Genomic DNA, 17,785 nt, shown 5'->3' on the forward strand with positions numbered 1-17,785 from the left:
TCCTTTTAGAAAAGCAGGTTTATTGGTCGGGCTGCTCACCAGGACACAGCAACGTGAGAGGTTCCCCAAGCCCACAGAAAACTGCATCTGCCCACAGCTCAGGCCCCTTCAGGCCATCAGCACCAAGGGACCTTGTCCCACAATCCCCAACCTCCCTCGGCAGAGGGGTCTTCAGCCATTCAGAGGAGAGAAGAGAACCGAGAAAGGGAAAAGGAAGAAAAAAAAAAAAAAAGCAAAGCTTTGTATTGTATAAAAGGTTTGTGTCCCCAGGCTCCCTCCCCCAATCCCTTAAAACAATGAACTGCAGTTCTAAAAAGCAGGGCAGAGAAGGTAAGGAGCAGGTGGGGGGAAGGAGGAAGCTCTCGGGGCCTCCCTTCAGGCTGTGACTGGGGAGAGGGGCTGTTCTTGCTTCTGACAAACCCCCTTTAATGGGGAGGAACAAGGGGACTCGTGTCTTGAGAACCTGGTCGTGTCTTGAGAACCCAGTCCAAACAGAATCAGGCCTCTGGACTGGGAGCAACACTCCCTTCACCCGCAAAGATTCAGGAAAAGCACCCCAAGGACAAGGAAACCAATGAGGTCTGGGCTAGCTCTGCAGCTTTAGGATACTAGCTCTAGGGAAGGATTTTTTCCTTTTTAAACAGCGTATCACTCTGTTGCCTAGGATGGAGCACAGAGGCACCCTCATAGCTCACTGCAGCCTCAAACTCCTGGGCTCTGGCGATCCTCCCGCCTCAGCCTCCCAAGTAGCTGAGACCACAGGCACGTGCCACCATGCTCCTAGGGAAGGAGCTTGAGAAGAAACTGCCAGGAGTGAACCAGGGCTGGCTGCTCTGTGATGTTCTCTCCCCACCTCCCCTCCAGCTCTCAACTTGGTGGCAGGGCCGGCACCCTGCTCTCCCTCCTAACTCCCAGCCTGCTGCTGCCCCCTTCTGGGACCCTAATTTTCTGGACTTTGAGAAATGGGCTGCCCCTGGGGGTGCCTCCAAGAGCCCATTTGAGGGATCGGGTGGGGCTGACCTCTCTGTCTTCTTTGGATCATCGCCTTCTCACACTGTCCTCCCTCTTGATTCTGAAAAATGGTCCTGCTGCCCATGGAGAACCACAGTAAGATAGATTTCTCATGCAGCTAGTGAGGGGACTTCTCTCTTCACCCATTTCCACCTTCTCCTATTTTCCTTTTTTTTCCTTCTGTTGAGATGGAGTCTCACTCTGTCACCCAGGCTGGAGTGCAGTGTCGCGACCTTGGCTCACTGCAACCTCCACCTCCCAGGTTCAAGCAATTCTCCCCACCTCAGCCTCCAAAGTAGCTGGGATTACAGGCATGCGCAACCATGCCCAGCTAATTTTTGTAATTTTAGTAGAGATGGGTTTTCGCTTAGTAGAGATGGGGTGTTTGCCAGGCTGGTCCCGAACTCCTGACTTCAGGTGATCCGCCCACCTCGGCCTCCCAAAGTGCTGGGGTTACAGGCATAAGCCACCAAGCCCGGCCGACCTTCTTCTATTTTTCCATTCTCCTTTCCAAAGCCATGGCCATGCGCTCCTGTGTACAGGTGCATAAACACATCAGTGTGCCATCCCTCACATGCATGTCGTTCCCCACCCCTCCTTCCCAGGGCTTCTCTTGGCTCCAGCGTTCCTCTGGGACCCTCTGCAGATACAGCCTGTGCTGGACCCCCAGCCAGGGTGAGGGCTCATTCTGCTCTGTCTTCCCCACTGCCTCAGTTTCCCCCAAAAGCTGCTTTCACGTCCTTCTAGTAGGGGGCCTCCCATGGGGGCAGGGATCCCCTTTAGGATTCAATCTTTCCTCTTTGGGCAGTTTTGGCTTTGAGTCCCCCAGGGATCAGGGTGAGAATGAAGAAGAGCTCAGTGAGCGGAATGACAGCAGCTGGGTGGGTGGTGTGGGGAGAGGCTGAGGGGAAGGCAGCCCCCCCAGGGGGGCCTAACCGTGGAATCACTGCAATTTCCTCTGAGATCCCGACTTGGACAACCAGGACAGGGATTGACCATTCCCTTCCCATTCCACTCGGACTGTGTCCAAGCGGGGGTTGTCCACTGCGGGGGCTGCCTCCCCATCGGGTCCTAACAGCTCTAAGACTGGGAGTGGAGTTCCTGGAGGTGTGGGGAGGGGGGCGTGTTTTCAATTTAGAAAAATCTCAGCCAGCTCGAGCCGAGAGAGAATGCGAAAGAGGAAGTTCGGAAGGAGCGAGGAATGGGGTGGGTGGCAGCGGGGGCGGCTCAGTCGCTGTCGCTCTTGTCCACCAGCACGGCGTCCGACTCCTCGGTGATCTCCAGCAGCGCGTGCACGTCGGGGCTGCTCCCGCGCCGCAGGTCGCCGGCCTCCCCGCGCTCCGCGCCGCCCTCGTCGTCGTCGGCGCCCACCTCCACCATCTCGGTGGCCTTGAGCACTTCCACCTGGCCCTCGCGGATCTTCTTGACGTGGAAGGTGAAGGGTGGCACCTTGTAGACCGCGGTCTTGGAGCGCGCGTACACCACGTGGTCGGGCGTGAAGGATTTGCGCAACTTGTCCCGCGACGTCTTCAGTTTCTCGCGCCGCTCGGCGGGCACCAGGCGCGTGCCCAGCTTGTTCATGCGCTTCTCCAGGGTGTGCCGCGTCTTCTCCAGGTTTTCCTTGGTCTTGAGGCGCGTCTTCTCCAGGTTCTCGCGGGTACGCACCTTGGTCTTCTCCATCTTCTCCTTGGAGAAGGCCTTCTTGAAGTCGTCCACGCGCCGCAGGCCGCTGCGCTTGATACGCTCTGCGCGGGACTCCTCAATAACCTCCTCAACCTCCACCGCCTCGTCCGACGAAAGCTCCAGCGCCGCTGCGTCCTCCTCGGGCCGCTCGCCCTCGCCCAGCTCCTCGCCCTCCTTCTCTGGCAGCGCCTCCGACTCTTTCAGCGATTTGCTGATGCTCAGTTTGGCCGGCAGCTTCACTTCATCCTAAGGGAAGAGGAGAAGGGACATGAGAGGCGTCGGAGGAGGCGGATGTGGGCGAGCCTGAGTCAGGGTGGTGACGATCCTGGAGAGAGGGGAGCATGGGACGCTCGTGGTCCCCAGGAAACTGGCGGGCGCTCAATAAATGTGTGTAGGCTCACGCCTGTAATATTAGCGCTGTGGGAGACCGAGGCAGGAGGATGGCTTGAGTCCAGGAGTTCGAGACCAGCCTGGGCAACATATCACCCATCTCCGGCCCCCCAACCCCGCGTCGCCATTCTTTCTCTCTCTCTCTCCTTGTTTTTTTTTTTTTTTTTTTTTTTAAACGGAGTCTCGATCTGTTGCCGAGGCTGGAGTGCAGTGGGCGCGATCTTGGCTCACCGCAACCTCCGCCACCCGGGTTCAAGCAATTCTCCTGCCTCAGCCTCCCGAATAGCTGGGATTACAGGCGCCCGCCACCACGCCGGCTAAATTTTGTATCTTTAATAGAGACGGTGTTTCTCCATATTGGTCAGGCTGGTCTCGAACTCCCGACCTCAGGTGATCCGCCCGCCTCGGCCTCCCAAAGTTCTGGGATTACAGGCGTGAGCCACTGCGCCCGGCCTCGCGCCGCCATTCTCTAAAAAACATGTGTGTTGAACGAATGGTGACTAAACAGACCGCGGGAGCAGGGGACCAAACTTCGGGTCGGAGATGGGGTTGCGTAATAATTGCACTTGGGCTAAAATCTCTGTGGTCGTCCAACCCTGTCCTGATCCCTTTCCACCCGTAGATGATATTAAACCACTACGGCCCTCGGGAGACACAGCTCCACTTTGGAAATGGGCGGAGCGCCCTCTGGTGCCGCAAATCGCACACTGCCCGAGCCAGGCCGAAAAGCAAGTGGTGGGAGTGTCTAAGTTGAAAGCGGGTAGGGGTTTGAGCCCACAGCTGCACCTACCCACCCAAGCAGGTAAAGTAAAGGAAGTGCATTTCCTAGACTCAAGCTATTTCTTTTTTTTTTTTTTTTTGAGATGGAGTCTCGCTTTGTCGCCCAGGCTGCAGTGCAGTGACACGATCTCTGCTGACTGCAACCTCTGCCTCCCAGGTTCAAGCAATTCTCCTGCCTCAGCCTCCTGAGTAGCTGGGACTGCAGGCATGCGCCACCACACCTGGCTAATTTTTTTGTATTTTTAGTAGACTCGGGGTTTCACCATGTTGGTCAGATTGGTCTCGAACCCCTGACCTCAAATGATCCACCCGCCTTGGCCTCCCAAAGTGCTGGGATTACAGGCATAAGCCACTGCTCCTGGCCTCAAGCTATTTCAGAACCAGCCTTAGAGATGGAGAACTGTGGTCCACCCTCCCCCACCTCCACCTTCTTTGACTCCTTCATACTGTTTGGCTCCACCAGTGGTCATTCTCCCCCTCCCCCACATTTAGAAATTGATATTGGAAAGAGGAAGAAGCTGGCTGGGAGCCACGGACATGTTTTCTCCCCAGTCTGGACATTTCTTCTGGTTGTGACTTCCCTACTTTGGGATAGAAGAGAGATTACTTTTCAATTCTTGCTTTCCCTACCCCCTGCCCCCAGCACAAAGCCTGAGCTCAGGGGTCTAGGAGTAGGATGGGTGGTCTCAGATTCCCCATGACCCTGGAGCTCAGAACCAGTTCTTTGCTTTTCTGTCTTCTCCTTGGAGGACTTAGCACCAGAACTGCTTTCCATTCCGGGAAGATTTTCCAAGATCTTGACTCTGGCCAACATTTCAGAATCTCTGGATCACTCCCTCCCCCACCTCCACCCTCATCAGAGAGCAGGGGAGGCTGAGCACAGAAAGGGAAAGGGCAGACCAAGATCATCAATAGGATCTCTTTGGCCCAGACTCCCTTTAGTGACTTCAAATGAAGGAACGAGAGATAGTCGCTTTTCTAAAGGGTTTTCTGAAGACCATTTCCCAGAATTATAAGAAAAATCCTGTCCCCTAAGAAATTAAGGCAACATAAACTGAGTCCTCTCACTGACACCACACACACACACCCCTATACATAGGCTGCTCGGTATCTCTGCACCACCTGCTACAGAAATTCCTTCCCCAGCCCCCAACCTCTTTCCTCTTCCCTCCCATCAACATCCCCCCAGAGTTTCCTGGTTTACACTGAAAACTAGGAACACCCTCTCCCAACTTCCTTCCCTTCTTGTCAATAGCATTAGCAGGGACAAAGAGGGAATGCTGGCTCCACCTCTTCTCTCATCTGGGCATCAGCTCTGCTGGGCACCAAGCCACCTCCAGCTCTCTGTTACCCAACTACACCTCCCAGCAGGCAAGGTGACCTGGGCACAGGGCATGCTGGGACTTGTAGTCTCTACCTGCCATAGACGGCTTAGTGCAGATCATGGGCAATCCTAGGGCATTTTGTTTATCCCTCTGCCTCTTATCATTCACTGAGGCATTGAAGGGTGTTTTCCTTGTTCTGAGTGTAGGAGAGTCTCAACTTCTCTTTGCATTCCCTCTGATTTCCAGTCATTCACTTTGGGGCTCCTACAATCACCCTTACCCTGCCTGCTACTGGAGTGCATATCATTTAAGACTTATACATCATTGTAGGATCTAAACCCTCTTCATCCATCTCCACCCAGAATTTACCTGCAGCCCCAGTATATATATATATTAAAAAAAATTCAGCTCTGATCTTTCCTTCATAACCTCCCAGACTTAAAAACCCACCCACGCCCCACCAAAGGGTGGAGAGAGCCCCTCCTTTCACTAAACTCAGACAATGTGAATAGGCTAGGGAGGGATTAAGGGTGACAGGCAGGGAATAGTCAGGAAACAGCCCCAGCTGCTGGAAAACAAATCCACTTTGTCTCTCTGCCCTACCCCCAGCATCCCCCGCTTCTCCCCTACCCCTGCTGCCTGCTCCACCCCACCCCTAAAGGCTGAGCTGGCTGGTTTTCCTGGCCTGTGGCTTCCTAGATAAAGGTCTTTGCCAGCTGAACTTGGAAGTGAATGGGACTGGGGAGAGAGCTGCAGACTTCTTATAGCCAATGCCATCTTCCTAGTGCCTCATGAAAGGTCTCAAACTACAACATAAGGAAGCAATCCTAGTGAGAGGAGGTTTTTGTTTTTTAGTTTTTTTGTTTTTTTTGAGATGGAGTTTTGCTCTTGCTCCCCAGGCTGGAGTGCAATGACACGATCTCGGCTCACCGCAACATCCGCCTCCTAGGTTCAAGCAATTCTCCTGCCTGGGCCTCCCAAATAGCTGAGATTACAGGCATGTGCCACCACACCTGGCTAATTTTGTATTTTTAGTAGAGACGGGGTTTCTCCATGTTGATCAGGCTGGTCTTGAACTCCCAACCTCATGTGATTCGCCCTCCTCAGCCTCCCAAAGTGCTGGGATTACAAGCCTAAGCCACCGTGCCCGGCCTTTTTTTTTTTTTTTTTTGAGACATGGTCTCACTCTGTCACCTAGGTTGGAGTGCAGTGGCGCGATCTCGGCTCACTGCAACCTCTGCCTCCTGGGTTCAAGCAGTTCTCCTGCCTCAGCCTCCCAAGTAGCTGGGATTACAGGCATGCACCACCACACCTGGCTAGTTTTTGTATTTTTTGGTAGAGACAGGGTTTCACCATGTTGGCCAGGCTGTTCTCAAACTCCTGACCTCAAGGGATCCTCCCACCTCGGCCTCCCAAAGTGCTGGGATTACAGGCACGAGCCACCGCATCTGGCCATTTTTGTGTTTTTGTTTGTTTGTTTTGAGATGGGGTCTTGTTCTGTCAACCAGGCTGAAGTGCAGTGGCATGATTACAGGTCACTACAGCCTCAACCTCCTGGGCTCTAGTGATCCTCCCACCTCAGCCTCCCAAGTAGCTGGAACTACAGGCGCACGCCACCATGCCCAGCTAATTTTTGTAGTTTTTGTACAGGCAGAGTCTCACTATGTTGCCCAGGCTGGTCTCAAACTCCTGGGCTCAAGTGATCCCCTTGCCTCGGCCTCCCAAAGTGCTGAGATTTCTCGCATGAGCCACTGTGCCTGGCCAAGGGGAGGTTTATTCCTGGATTTAGAAATCTCTCCAGACCAGTAAGGGATCTGGGGGCTCTAACCCCATTCATCGTAGGCTTCCCCTGGAGTGACGGCTTACACCATAGGAGCTGCCTTCTTGGTGGAAGGTCAGGGGACAGGAGACGAAACAACTTGAGCTGAATCCTGGGATGATGTCCAATAGGCTGGCTCTGGAGAGGGTATTTCACCATTAGCTTTTCCTCTCCACTCCAGGCCAGGTTTCCCCCATGACTCACAGCCTTGGAGTGCTGTCTTGGTCCCACCCATCTGCTTGCTGGTACAACCACCACAAACACAATCCAAAATCATCTCCCTCCACCCTGGGCACACAGGCCAGGCACCCTTGTCCCACCCCTACTTCTCTGGCAGAGCTCCTAAGCCAAAGGAAGGACCTCAGGGGATGGCAAGGAGGGACGGCTCTGCTTGTTCTGTTTCTCGTTTTTATTAAACAAAACCACCACTCCCAATAGGCTTGGTTTCCAGAGTTACCTTTAATGACCAGCTCTGAACAAAAGCATTACAGTTCCCCCTGCCCTTTGCCAAGCACACATAGCTCCTCAATCCTCGATGGATGCAGAGGAGCCACAGGGAGGCTCCCAGCCTCTTCCACTCCACCCCCCAACCCTGCTGTCTAAACTCGAGATCTGGCTTAGGAAGATTTTTATAAGATTATAATGTCATTGAGCACCTATTACACATCTGGCCCTTGGCCAGGCACTTCACATTTGTTAGGGAGAAGGGACAGATGCCACATGGGTCTGGGTAGGAGGCTCTCTTGACTTAAGGCTGACCAGCTCTAGGTCCCCAACCACTGCCTGGGAATGGCTGGAGGAGACTGGAGAGGTAATTCAGAGACCCAGGATCTGCTTAGAGTGTATGTTAGAAGAGGGTGCAGAGGAGGGGAGAGGTGAAGGGGAGAGAACGTCTTTAAAATTCAGGACCTCTGCTAGAGGTTGCTAAGACAAGGAGATGAGAGACCCCAAGGGCAGAAGTGTCCCTCCCTTCTGCTCTAGCGTGCATTCTTGGCAGGGGTGAAATTGCATCCAAAAGGGTGAAAACTGATTCTTGGAGATTGGGAGGGGACTTAGATATCACAATGATTTGTGCCACTCCCAAGAGCCACAGTACATAAACAGATATACAGTTTATCTATTGTTTTAACATTTCGTGAGGGAGATGAACAGCTTGGTTAAAAATATCTGAAAGGGGCCGGGTGCTGTGGCTCAAGGCTGTAATCCCAGCACTTTGGGAGGCCGAGGTGGGCAGATTACGAGGTCAGGAGATCGAGACCATTCTGGCCAACATGGTGAAACTCCGTCTCTACTAAAAATACAAAAATTAGCTGGGTGTGGTGGCACGAGCCTGTAATCCCAGCTACTCGGGAGGCTGAACCAGGGAGGTGGAGATTGCAGTGAGCCGAGATCGTGCCACTGTAATCCAGCCTGGCGACGGAGTGAGACTCTGTCTCAAAAAAAAAAAAAAAAAAAAAAAAAAAAAAAAAAAAAATTGAAAGGGCCAGGGGTGGTGGCTCATGCCTGTAATCCCAGAATTTTGGGAGGCGGGGCAGATCACCTGAGGTCAGGAGTTCGAAACCCCGTCTCTACCAAAAAATACAAAAACTAGCTGGGTGTGGTGGCACATGCCTGTAATCCCAGCTACTTGGGAGGCTGAGGCAGGAGAATCACTTGAACCGAGGAGGTGGAGGTTGTAGTTAGCCGAGATCACTCCACTGCACTCCAACCTGGGTGACAGAGTAGGACTATGTCTCAAAAAAAAAAAAAAAAACTAAAAGGTCTGTATATGGGAGTGATTATGAAAACAACAACAACCATCAACAACAAAAACTGGCTGGGTGAGGTGGCTCACATCTGTAATCCCAGCACTTTGGGAAGCTGAGGTGGGAGGATCACTTGAGCCCCAGGAGTTCAGAACCAGCCTGGGCAACACAGTCCAACCCCATCTCTAAAAAAAATTTTTTTAACATTTTTTTTAAGTTGAGAAACACTCTGCTATAGGAAGGCCAGAGGTCCTGAGCCAGAGCCAGCTAGAATGTCCCCCTCCTGGCATCTGTGAGTTGGCAGCTTTTGGGCACCCCACCCAAGGCAGGATCTGGCAAACATAAGCGATCTCTTTGCAAAGCATTTTCTAAAAGAAACTGGAGAAAATACGTGTAAATGTTTTCCTCAGCTGCAGGGAGTGGGTGGAGAGGGCACAGAACAGACCCCAGGCCTGAGCCTCATGATGGCCCTCTCCAAAGAGGCTTTGAGCCAAACTGGGTTGTCCCTCAGGAGGAGGCAGCAGGGGGAACGGCAGAACCAGAAGCCATGCGCCTTCATGCTAGGCAGCCTTCGGGTGCAGCTTAAGTGTGGGGGAGCATTTACTACTAAAAACAGAAACCAAGAAGTGGGGAGGCCCCTTCCATTCCCCTCCCATCCCCACTGTATACATCCCATTCTCCTGAACTTTGCATAACGCCAGTGTTCTCACAGTACCCGGCACCCGTCCACAGTGGGCAGTGACTGGGGATGGTGGCCCTCCTGGCAGTGATCACCACTAGGCTGTGGGCTGACAGTGGACTGAAGAGATACCCCACGCCCACAGAACGGGATCCGGGAGACCCTAAACACTCCCACCGGCTGTCAGCTCCTCTGGGGTGGGCCGGGGCCCAGGCTCTGGGTAATATGGCAGTGCCCTAGGCGTCTGGTCAAAAGGTGGGAGCTCAGGCACTGTCTCAGGCTTCAGGTCAAAGGGCTCAGTCTCAGGCAGGTCAAAAGGCACGATCTTGGGTGTGGCCAGGTCAGAGGGTGCATTCGGCTTCTTCTTGGGCTAAGATGAGGAAAAGGGGTTTAAATGGGGCTTGGGGTGGGTGCAAAAGGAGTTGAGAAAAAAGGGCCTTGGTGGCATGCAGAGTAGGGGCTGGTGAGTAGGGAGGGGAGCACAATGTATTAGGATGGAAATAAACCACTTTTTTTTTTTTTTTTTTTTTAGAAATGGGGGTCTTGCTCTGTTGCCCAGGCTGTAGTGCAGTGCACAATCATAGCTCACTGCAGCCTCCAACTCCTGGGCTCAAGCAATCTTCTTACCTCAGCCTCCCAAATATCTAGGACTACAGTTGTGTACCATCAAACCCGGCTAATTTTTTTTTTTTTTTTGATAGAGACAAGGTCTCACTATGTTGCCCAGGCTAGAAACTATTTTATTTTATTTTTTTGAGACAGAGTCTCACTCTGTTGCCCAGGCTGGAGTGCAGTGGCACGATCTTGGCTCACTGCAACCTCCACCTCCCAGGTTCAAGTAATTCTCCTGCCTCAGCCTCCCGAATAGCTGGGATTACAGGTGCATGCTACCACGCCCAGCTAATTTTATACTTTTAGTAGAGACCGGGTTTCACTGTGTTGGCCAGGCTGGTCTTGAACTCCTGGCCTCAAGCGATCCTCTTGTCTCGGTCTCCCAAAGTGCTGGGATTACAGGCGGGAACCACTGCGCCTGGACTATTTTATTTATTTTTTTGAGATGGAGCCTCTCTCTATCGCCCAGGCTGCTAAACTGTAGTGCAGTGGCGTGATCTCTGATCTTGGTTCACCGCAACCTCCGCCTCCTGGGTTCAAGCGATTCTCCTGCCTCAGCCTCCCAAGTAGCTGGGATTACAGGTGGGTGCCACCATGCTCAGCTAATATTTTGAAATTTTAGCAGAGATAGGGTTTCACCATGTTGGCCAGGCTGGTCTTGAACTCCTGACCTCAAGTGATCTGCCCTCCTTGGGCTCCCAAAGTGCTGGGATTACAGGCATGAGCCACCATCATGCCTGGCCTAGAAACTCATTTTAAATGCTTCATCAAGAGGGCCCTGGGAGCTGGGCACAGTGGCTCACGCCTATAATCCCTGTAATCCCAGCACTTTGGAGGCCAAGGTGGGTGGATCCCTTGAGCCCAGGAGTTCAAGACCAGCCTCAGCAACATTGCCCAGGTCTCTGCAAAAAATACTGTTAGTGGGGCCTGTTGGCACATGCCTGAAATTTCAGCTACTCGGGAGGCTGAGGCAGGAGAATCACTTGAACCAGGGAGGTGAAGTTTGCAGTGAGCTGAGGTCCAGCCACTTCACTCTAGCCTGGGCGACAGAGCAAAAGTCTGTCTCAAAAAGGGAAAAAAAAAAAAAAAAAAAAAAAAAAAAAAAAAGAGGTCCCTGGGGCCAAAAGGGGTGGGGCAAACTCAAGCCCAAGAATTAATAAACACAGCTTCAATTGAGCCCCTCCCTTCCTCCCTCTACAATATTCCCCAGTCCCATTCTTGGGCTTCCATCTCCAATCCTTCCCCAGCCATAATCATAGGAAGACTATGGAGGCTACTAGGGGTGGATAAGGAGTTTTCTAAGGGGCTAGTTGTTGGATTATAACTGGGGAGGCTCAGATGAGTAAATACAAAGGCACACAACTTCACTGTCTTCAGAGTCAGACTCTGCCAATCCCAGTTTTGTGGTTGTTGTTTTTTTTTAGACGGAGTCTTGCTCTGTCACCCAGGCTGTGGAGTATAGTGGCGTGATCTTGGCTCACTGCAACCTCTGCCTCCTGAGTTCAAGTGATTCTCCTGCCTCAGCCTCCCTAGTAGCTGGGATTACAGGTGTGTGCCACCATGCCCGGCTAATTTTTTTTGTATTTTTGGTAGAGACGGAGTTTCGCCATGTTGGCCAGGCTGGTCTTGAACTCCTGACCTCAAGTGGTCCACCCACCTCAGCCTCCCAAAGTGCTGGGATTACAGGCATGAGCCAGTGTGCCCAGATTAATCTGTTTTCATTCTTCCCTGGGGTAGGGTGGACACAGGATGCTACCCCAAATGAGGAGAGGGATAGGCATGGAAGAGGGACATCCTGGCAATTTCCCTTTGGCCACGTCCCCACCTTCTGTCTCCCTTGCCACCCCTCCCTCTTGCTACCACTTAAGATATCATACACTAAAATGCACAGAGAAATCAGGATCCAAAACCAAGCTCTATTTTTTTTTTTAAGATAGAGTCTCTCTATGCTGTCCAACCTGGCTTCAAACTCCTAGTCTCAAGCAATCTTCCTGCCTCAACTTATTGAGTAGCTGGGACTACAGGCACACATCACTGTGCCTGGCAAAACCAAGCTATTTTTATGACAGGTGAGCCTATGTCCTGGGACCTCTGGACCTCTGCGGCAGCCCCCAACTCTCTCTCCTGAGGGGCTGAGTTGTGGAAGACTATAGGCTTCTTGCTTTGAGCAATCAGATGCCAGGCGAGAGGGACACTTGGCGGCACTATTGGACTCAGGCAATAGCAGTATTTGATAAAGCCTGTAGTCTCAAAAAAACAAAGCAGCAGGTCCCAACCTCCCCTGCAGGGTACAAGGAGGAGGTGGGAGTGGCAGAGAGGCTGAAGAGAAAGGGAAACAACATGTCCCTCTCCTAGGTATGTGTGGAGTCCCTGCCAGGGCACACCACGGCTGACCAGGAGCTCCACTCCTCCCCTACGCCCCTCCCCTCCCCAACACCCCTCCTTTCCCCCACTTTTCTCCCCTACACCCCTCCCCTCCCCTACACCTCTCCCCTCCCACTGTCACCAGGCCAGGTGACCACACATTGCCTCTACTTCAGCACTTACAAGGCTAAGCAGCCAATGGCCACCAATGCTGGCCACTCATAGCCAACGCCACACACACAAACACCCATACACACGCAAAGCAGCCCCAGGGCCAGGACTGTGCAACTAACTCCCTCAGCAAGTGTCGGAGCCACAGCTAGCCCTAGCTTTGTCAGGGCTAGTCTTCACTCAGCTTTCTGCTGCAGAGCCCAGAACGGAAGGAGGGGGTGGGGAGCAGTGAGTGTAGCGGAAGGGTACACCTGGGTTCTGGCTCCAGTTTGACTCCCAATCACTTGAGTGACAATAGGCTAGTGACTTCCCCTCTCTGGGCCTCAGCTTCCTAAACCACAAAATGAAGGAGTTGAAGTTGATTATTTGCAAAGTGTCTTCTAGCTCAAGAAGTGTATAATGAGGCCGGGTGCGGTGGCTCACGCCTGTAATCCCAGCACTTTGGGAGGCTGAGGCAGACGGATTGCTTGAGCTCAGGAATTGGAGACCCTGGGCAATGTGGAGAAACCCCATCTCCACCAAAAAATACAAAAATTAGCTGGATGTGGTGGTGCATGTCTGTAGTCCTAGCTACTTGGGGGCCTAAGGCAGGAGGAATGCTTGAGCCCGGACGACAGGGGCTGCAGTGAGCCGTGACAGCTGCCACTACATTCCAGCCTGGGCAACAGAGTGAGACCCTGTCTCAGAAAAACAAAACAAAACAAAAAACAAAAAAAAAGAAAAAAAGAAAAGAAAAATTTAAAAAATGCTAATGACAGAATGATGAAATATTCACAATGTTATATTTCCAAAAAAAAATGGCCCAAGCCACTCCTACTTCTGAGGTTAGTTGCTTAGCAATAATATCCCCTCCCCTCTTGCTATCAGTTGCCCACTCTTTGCTGTCTCCTCATGCTTTTGACTTTGATCTTTACAATATGAAAAATAAAAATAAAAAGGCCGCGTGGCTCACGCCTGTAACCCCAGCACTTTGGGCGGCCAAGGCAGGAGTATCACTTATGCCCAGGAATTCGAGACCAGCCTAAGCAACAGTGGGGACCCTCTAGAAAAAACATTTAGGCTGAGCACAGTGGCTCCCACCTGTAATTCCAGCACTTTGGGAGGCTGAGGCAGGTGGATCACCTGAGGTCAGGAGTTCGAGACCAGCCTAGCCAACATGGTGAAACCCCGTCTCTGCTAAAAATACAAAAATTAGCCAGGTGTGGTGGCACATGCCTGTAATCCCAGCTACTTAGGACGGTGAGGCATGAAAATTGCTTGAATCCAGGAGGTGGAGGTTACAGTGAGCTGAGATCACGCTACTGCACTCCGGCCTGGGTGACAGAGCAAGACTCTGTCAAAGAAAGAAGAGAGAGAGAGAGAGAGAGAAAAGAAGAAAAGAAGAAGGAAAGAAGGCCGGAAGGAATTTAAAAATTAGCTGGGCATGGTGGCTTGTGCCTGTAGTACCAGCTACTTGGGAGGCTGAGATGGTGAGATGGGAGGATTGCTTGAGCCTAGGAGTTTGAGGCTGCAGTGAGCTATGATACCACCACTCCAGCCTGGGCTGCAGAGCTAAGATCCTTTCTCAAAAAAAAAAAAAAAAAAAAAAAAAGGGAGGGAGGAACCCAGGGATAGCATGATTTCCTTTCGTCTTGGGAATACCCCTAAAAATACCCTCCCTGCTTTGGACCCAGTGACCAGGAAAAACAACCCAAACTCAGTTTGGGAGGAAGGGATGTACTATGCATACTCTCCATGGCCGCTGGGTTTTAGGGATGAAAGGGACCAAAGCCCTGGGTTGAGAATATTTTTGGACAAAGGTTTGGGGTTCTTCTAGAGCAAGGTAGCCCTAATTTGCGTTGAATCCAGGAAAGAGGTACAGGTTGGATTGCGATTTGGGGAGGAGAAGCCATCAGGCTCTCGTTCCAGCCCTGGTGCCCTACCCTTTAATGCCCATGAGACACCTAATCCCTTAAATGCTTCCTGGCCCTTATCCCCAGGCACTTGGAGCAGGTCTGATGGGCCTTTGCTGCTGGTCCATATGTAGGTCACTGACTTTGCCTCCTCAAAACTGCTCCAGAACACATTTTTAGTCATGAGCCGCATAGCAACGTTTCAGTCAACAGACGGCATACACAACCGTGGTCCCATAAGATTGTAATGGAGGCTGGTTGTGGTGGCTTATGCCTGTAATCTTAGCACTTTGGGAGGCCAAGGCAGGTGGATTGCTTGAGGCCAGGAGTTCGAGACCAGCCTGGCCAACATGGTGAAACCCTGTCTCTATTAAAAATACAAAAATATTAGCCAGGCATGGTGGCTCACACCTGTAAATCCCAGCTACTCGGAAGGCTGAAGAAGAACAATTGTTTGAACCTGGGAGGCAGAGGGGTTGCAGTGAGCCAAGATTGTGCCACTGCACTCTAGCCTGAGCAACAGAGCGAGAACTTGTCTCCAAAAAAAAAAAAAAAGATTGTAGTGGAGATAAAAAATTCCTATCACCTAATAACATTGTAGCCATCATAATGTGTTAGTGAAATGAATTACTCAAGTGTTTATGGTGATTGCTGGTGTAAACAAGCCTGCTGCACTACCAGTTGTATAAAAGTCTAGCCCATACAATTATATACAGTACATAATACTTGATATTGATAAGACATGACTGTGTTACTGGTTATGTATTTACTATACTATACTATTTTTTTGAGACAGTCTTGCTCTCTTGTCCAGGCACAACCTCCATCTCCCAGGTTCAAACGATTCCCCTGCCTCAGCCTCCCAAGTAGCTGGGATTACAGGCACCCACCACCACACCCACCTAATTTTTGTATTTTTATTTAGAGATGGGGTTTCACCATGTTGGCCAGGCTAGTCTCTAACTCCTGACCTCAAGTGATCTACCTGCCTCGGCCTCCCAAAGTGCTGGGATTACAGGTGTGAGCTACCGTGCCATGGCTATTGCACCTTTTCTATGTTTAGACACATTTAGATACACAAATACTTACCATTGTGTTATAGTTGCCTACAGTATTCAGTACATTAACATGCTGTATAGGTTTGTAGCCTAGGAGCAATAGGCTGTATCATATAGCCTAGGTGTGCAGTAGGCTATACTGTTTAGGTTTATGTAAAGTTACTCTATGATGTTCACACAGTGAGGAAATGGCCTAACACTGCATTTCTCTGAACATATCCCAGTCATTAAGCAATGCGTGACTGTATTTCCTTTTTTTTTTTTTTTTTTTGAGACCAAGTTTCGCTCTTGTTGCCCAGGCTGGAGTGCAATGGTGCGATCTCGGCTCACCGCAACCTCTGCCTCCTGGGTTCAAGTGATTCTCCTGCCTCAGCCTCCTGAGTAGCTGGGATTACAGGTATGTGCAACCACGCCTGGCTAATTTTGTATTTTTAGTAGAGACGGGGTTTCTCCATGTTGGTCAGGCTGGTCTCGAACTCCCCACCTCAGGTGATCCGCCCGCCTCAGCCTCCCAAAGTGTTGGGATTACAGGTGTGAGCCACCGCGCCCAGCCCCGTATTTCCATTTTATCCCCACTTTCTGGATCTAAAAGAGCCCTACTCTCCAAATTGTTGCCTGGAGGGATGGTTAATGGGTACAAAAATACAGTTAGATAGAAGGAATAAGATCTAACGTTCAGTAGCACAATAGGGTGATAGAGTTAACAGAAATTATTGCGTATTTCAAAATAATTAAAGGAGTGGAATTGGGATGTTCCTAACACAAGGAAATGATAAATGCTTGATATGACGGATACTCTAATTACCCTGATTTGATCATTATACATTGCATACTTGTCTCGAAATATCACATGTACTCCAAAAATATGTACAACTATTATGTATCCATAGTAATTAAAAATAAAGCCTTTTAAGTTTAAAAATAAACAAACTGGATGCACGTGGTAGCTCATGCCTGTAGTCTCAGCACTTTGGGAGGCCCAGACAGGAGAACTGTTTGAACCCAGGAGTTTGAGATCAGCCTGGGCAACTAAGTGAGACCCCGGACTCTACAAATATGAAAAAAAACAATTTGCCGGGCACGGTGGTGGGCACCTGTAGTCCTAGCTACTCGGGAGGCTGAACCAGGAGGATCACTTGAGCCCAAGAGTTCGAGACTGCAGTAAGATATGACTGTGTCACTGCACTCCAGCTTGAGCAACAGAGTGAGAACTTGTCTGAAAAACAAAACCAAAAAACCCCAAAAAACAAATTGTTGCCTGGAAGAATTGGTTCTTTAATGATCATAGTTCCACTCATCTGCATGGCATTTTATTTTATTTATTGTTGTTATTATTATTATTATTATTATTTTTGAGATGGAGTCTCACTCTGTCGCCCAGGCTGGAGTGCAATAACACGATCTCGCTCACTGCAACCTCCGCCTCCCAGGTTCAAGCCATTCTTCTGCCTCAGCCTCCCGAGTAACCAGGATTAGAGGTGCTCACCACCATGCCCGGCTAATTTTTGTATTTTAGTAGAGAGGGGTTTCACCATGTTGGCCAGGCTGGTCTCGAACTACTGACCTCAAGTGATCCACCTGCCTCAGCCTCCTAAAGTGCTGGGATTACAGGCACGAGCCACCTAGCCCGGCCTCTGCATGGTATTTTAGAGCAACTGCCTCTATATTCACAATCTGGCCTGATCGTCCTGCAACCCTCAGTCCATTAACTCCTATAACTAGTAGAATTCACTTCTCTCATTTACTAGCTGTTGCTAGCCAAGTGTCGCCTGATAGAATGCAATGTCAAACTGCTAGGTTTTGTTTGGGAGACAGGGAAGGAAATGCCAGAGAAGGGCAGTAATGACTCAGAAGTGAGTTTAAGATGAGGGCTGTGATACCTTGGGGTGGGAGGTGCTGAATTTCGTGTGTGTGTGTGTGTGTGTGTGTGTGTGTGTGTGTTCAAATGCAAACTTAAAGCTGTGAAATCATTAAGTCTAGAAGTTCCCTGAATTTGGGGTGGGGCCATACAAGGGATTCCCTCCTTTTCTCCCCAGGAATAGGGTATGGAAGGCCAGATGTCTCCATCCCACAACGGGGGCCTTCCCATCCCTTGGTGTTCTCTGCCCCGCCCCCACTGCCACATCATCACCTCCCACCCCTGTAGTGGGGAATACAGCATCCCTTCCCCTATGGCCCCTCCAGAGAATTCACACCATCCCAGGAAACTTTCTCCAAATCTCTGTCTCTTTGCCTGGCCACCCAACATCCTCCCCC

The 17,785-nt window shown here is 50.9% G+C and overlaps 1 protein-coding gene across 2 annotated transcripts in view, besides 1 other annotated feature; it reads right to left on the reverse strand.

Annotated features, from left to right (window-relative positions):
* Positions 1-17,785, reverse strand: part of CAVIN1 (caveolae associated protein 1) — a 20,808-nt gene continuing 3,023 nt past the window's right edge. Inside the window, exon 2 of one of the 2 annotated variants that reach the window (NM_012232.6) lies at positions 1-2,940. In NM_012232.6, the coding sequence (NP_036364.2) occupies positions 2,239-2,940 (702 nt within the window). In that variant the 3' untranslated portion in view covers positions 1-2,238. Of the gene's footprint in view, positions 2,941-7,448; positions 9,803-17,785 lie in introns of those variants that run through there. The other variant, XM_005257242.5, reaches the window with a different exon arrangement.
* Positions 3,863-3,912: an enhancer, noted in NCBI's record as "active region_12200". NCBI's record gives its function as "activates an Ori minimal core promoter by ATAC-STARR-seq in GM12878 lymphoblastoid cells {active_cell/tissue: GM12878}" and the evidence as "EXISTENCE:reporter gene assay evidence [ECO:0000049][PMID:35858748]".

Source organism: Homo sapiens, chromosome 17 (assembly GCF_000001405.40).
Source record: "Homo sapiens chromosome 17, GRCh38.p14 Primary Assembly".
In the NCBI taxonomy this organism is placed as follows: domain Eukaryota; kingdom Metazoa; phylum Chordata; class Mammalia; order Primates; family Hominidae; genus Homo; species Homo sapiens.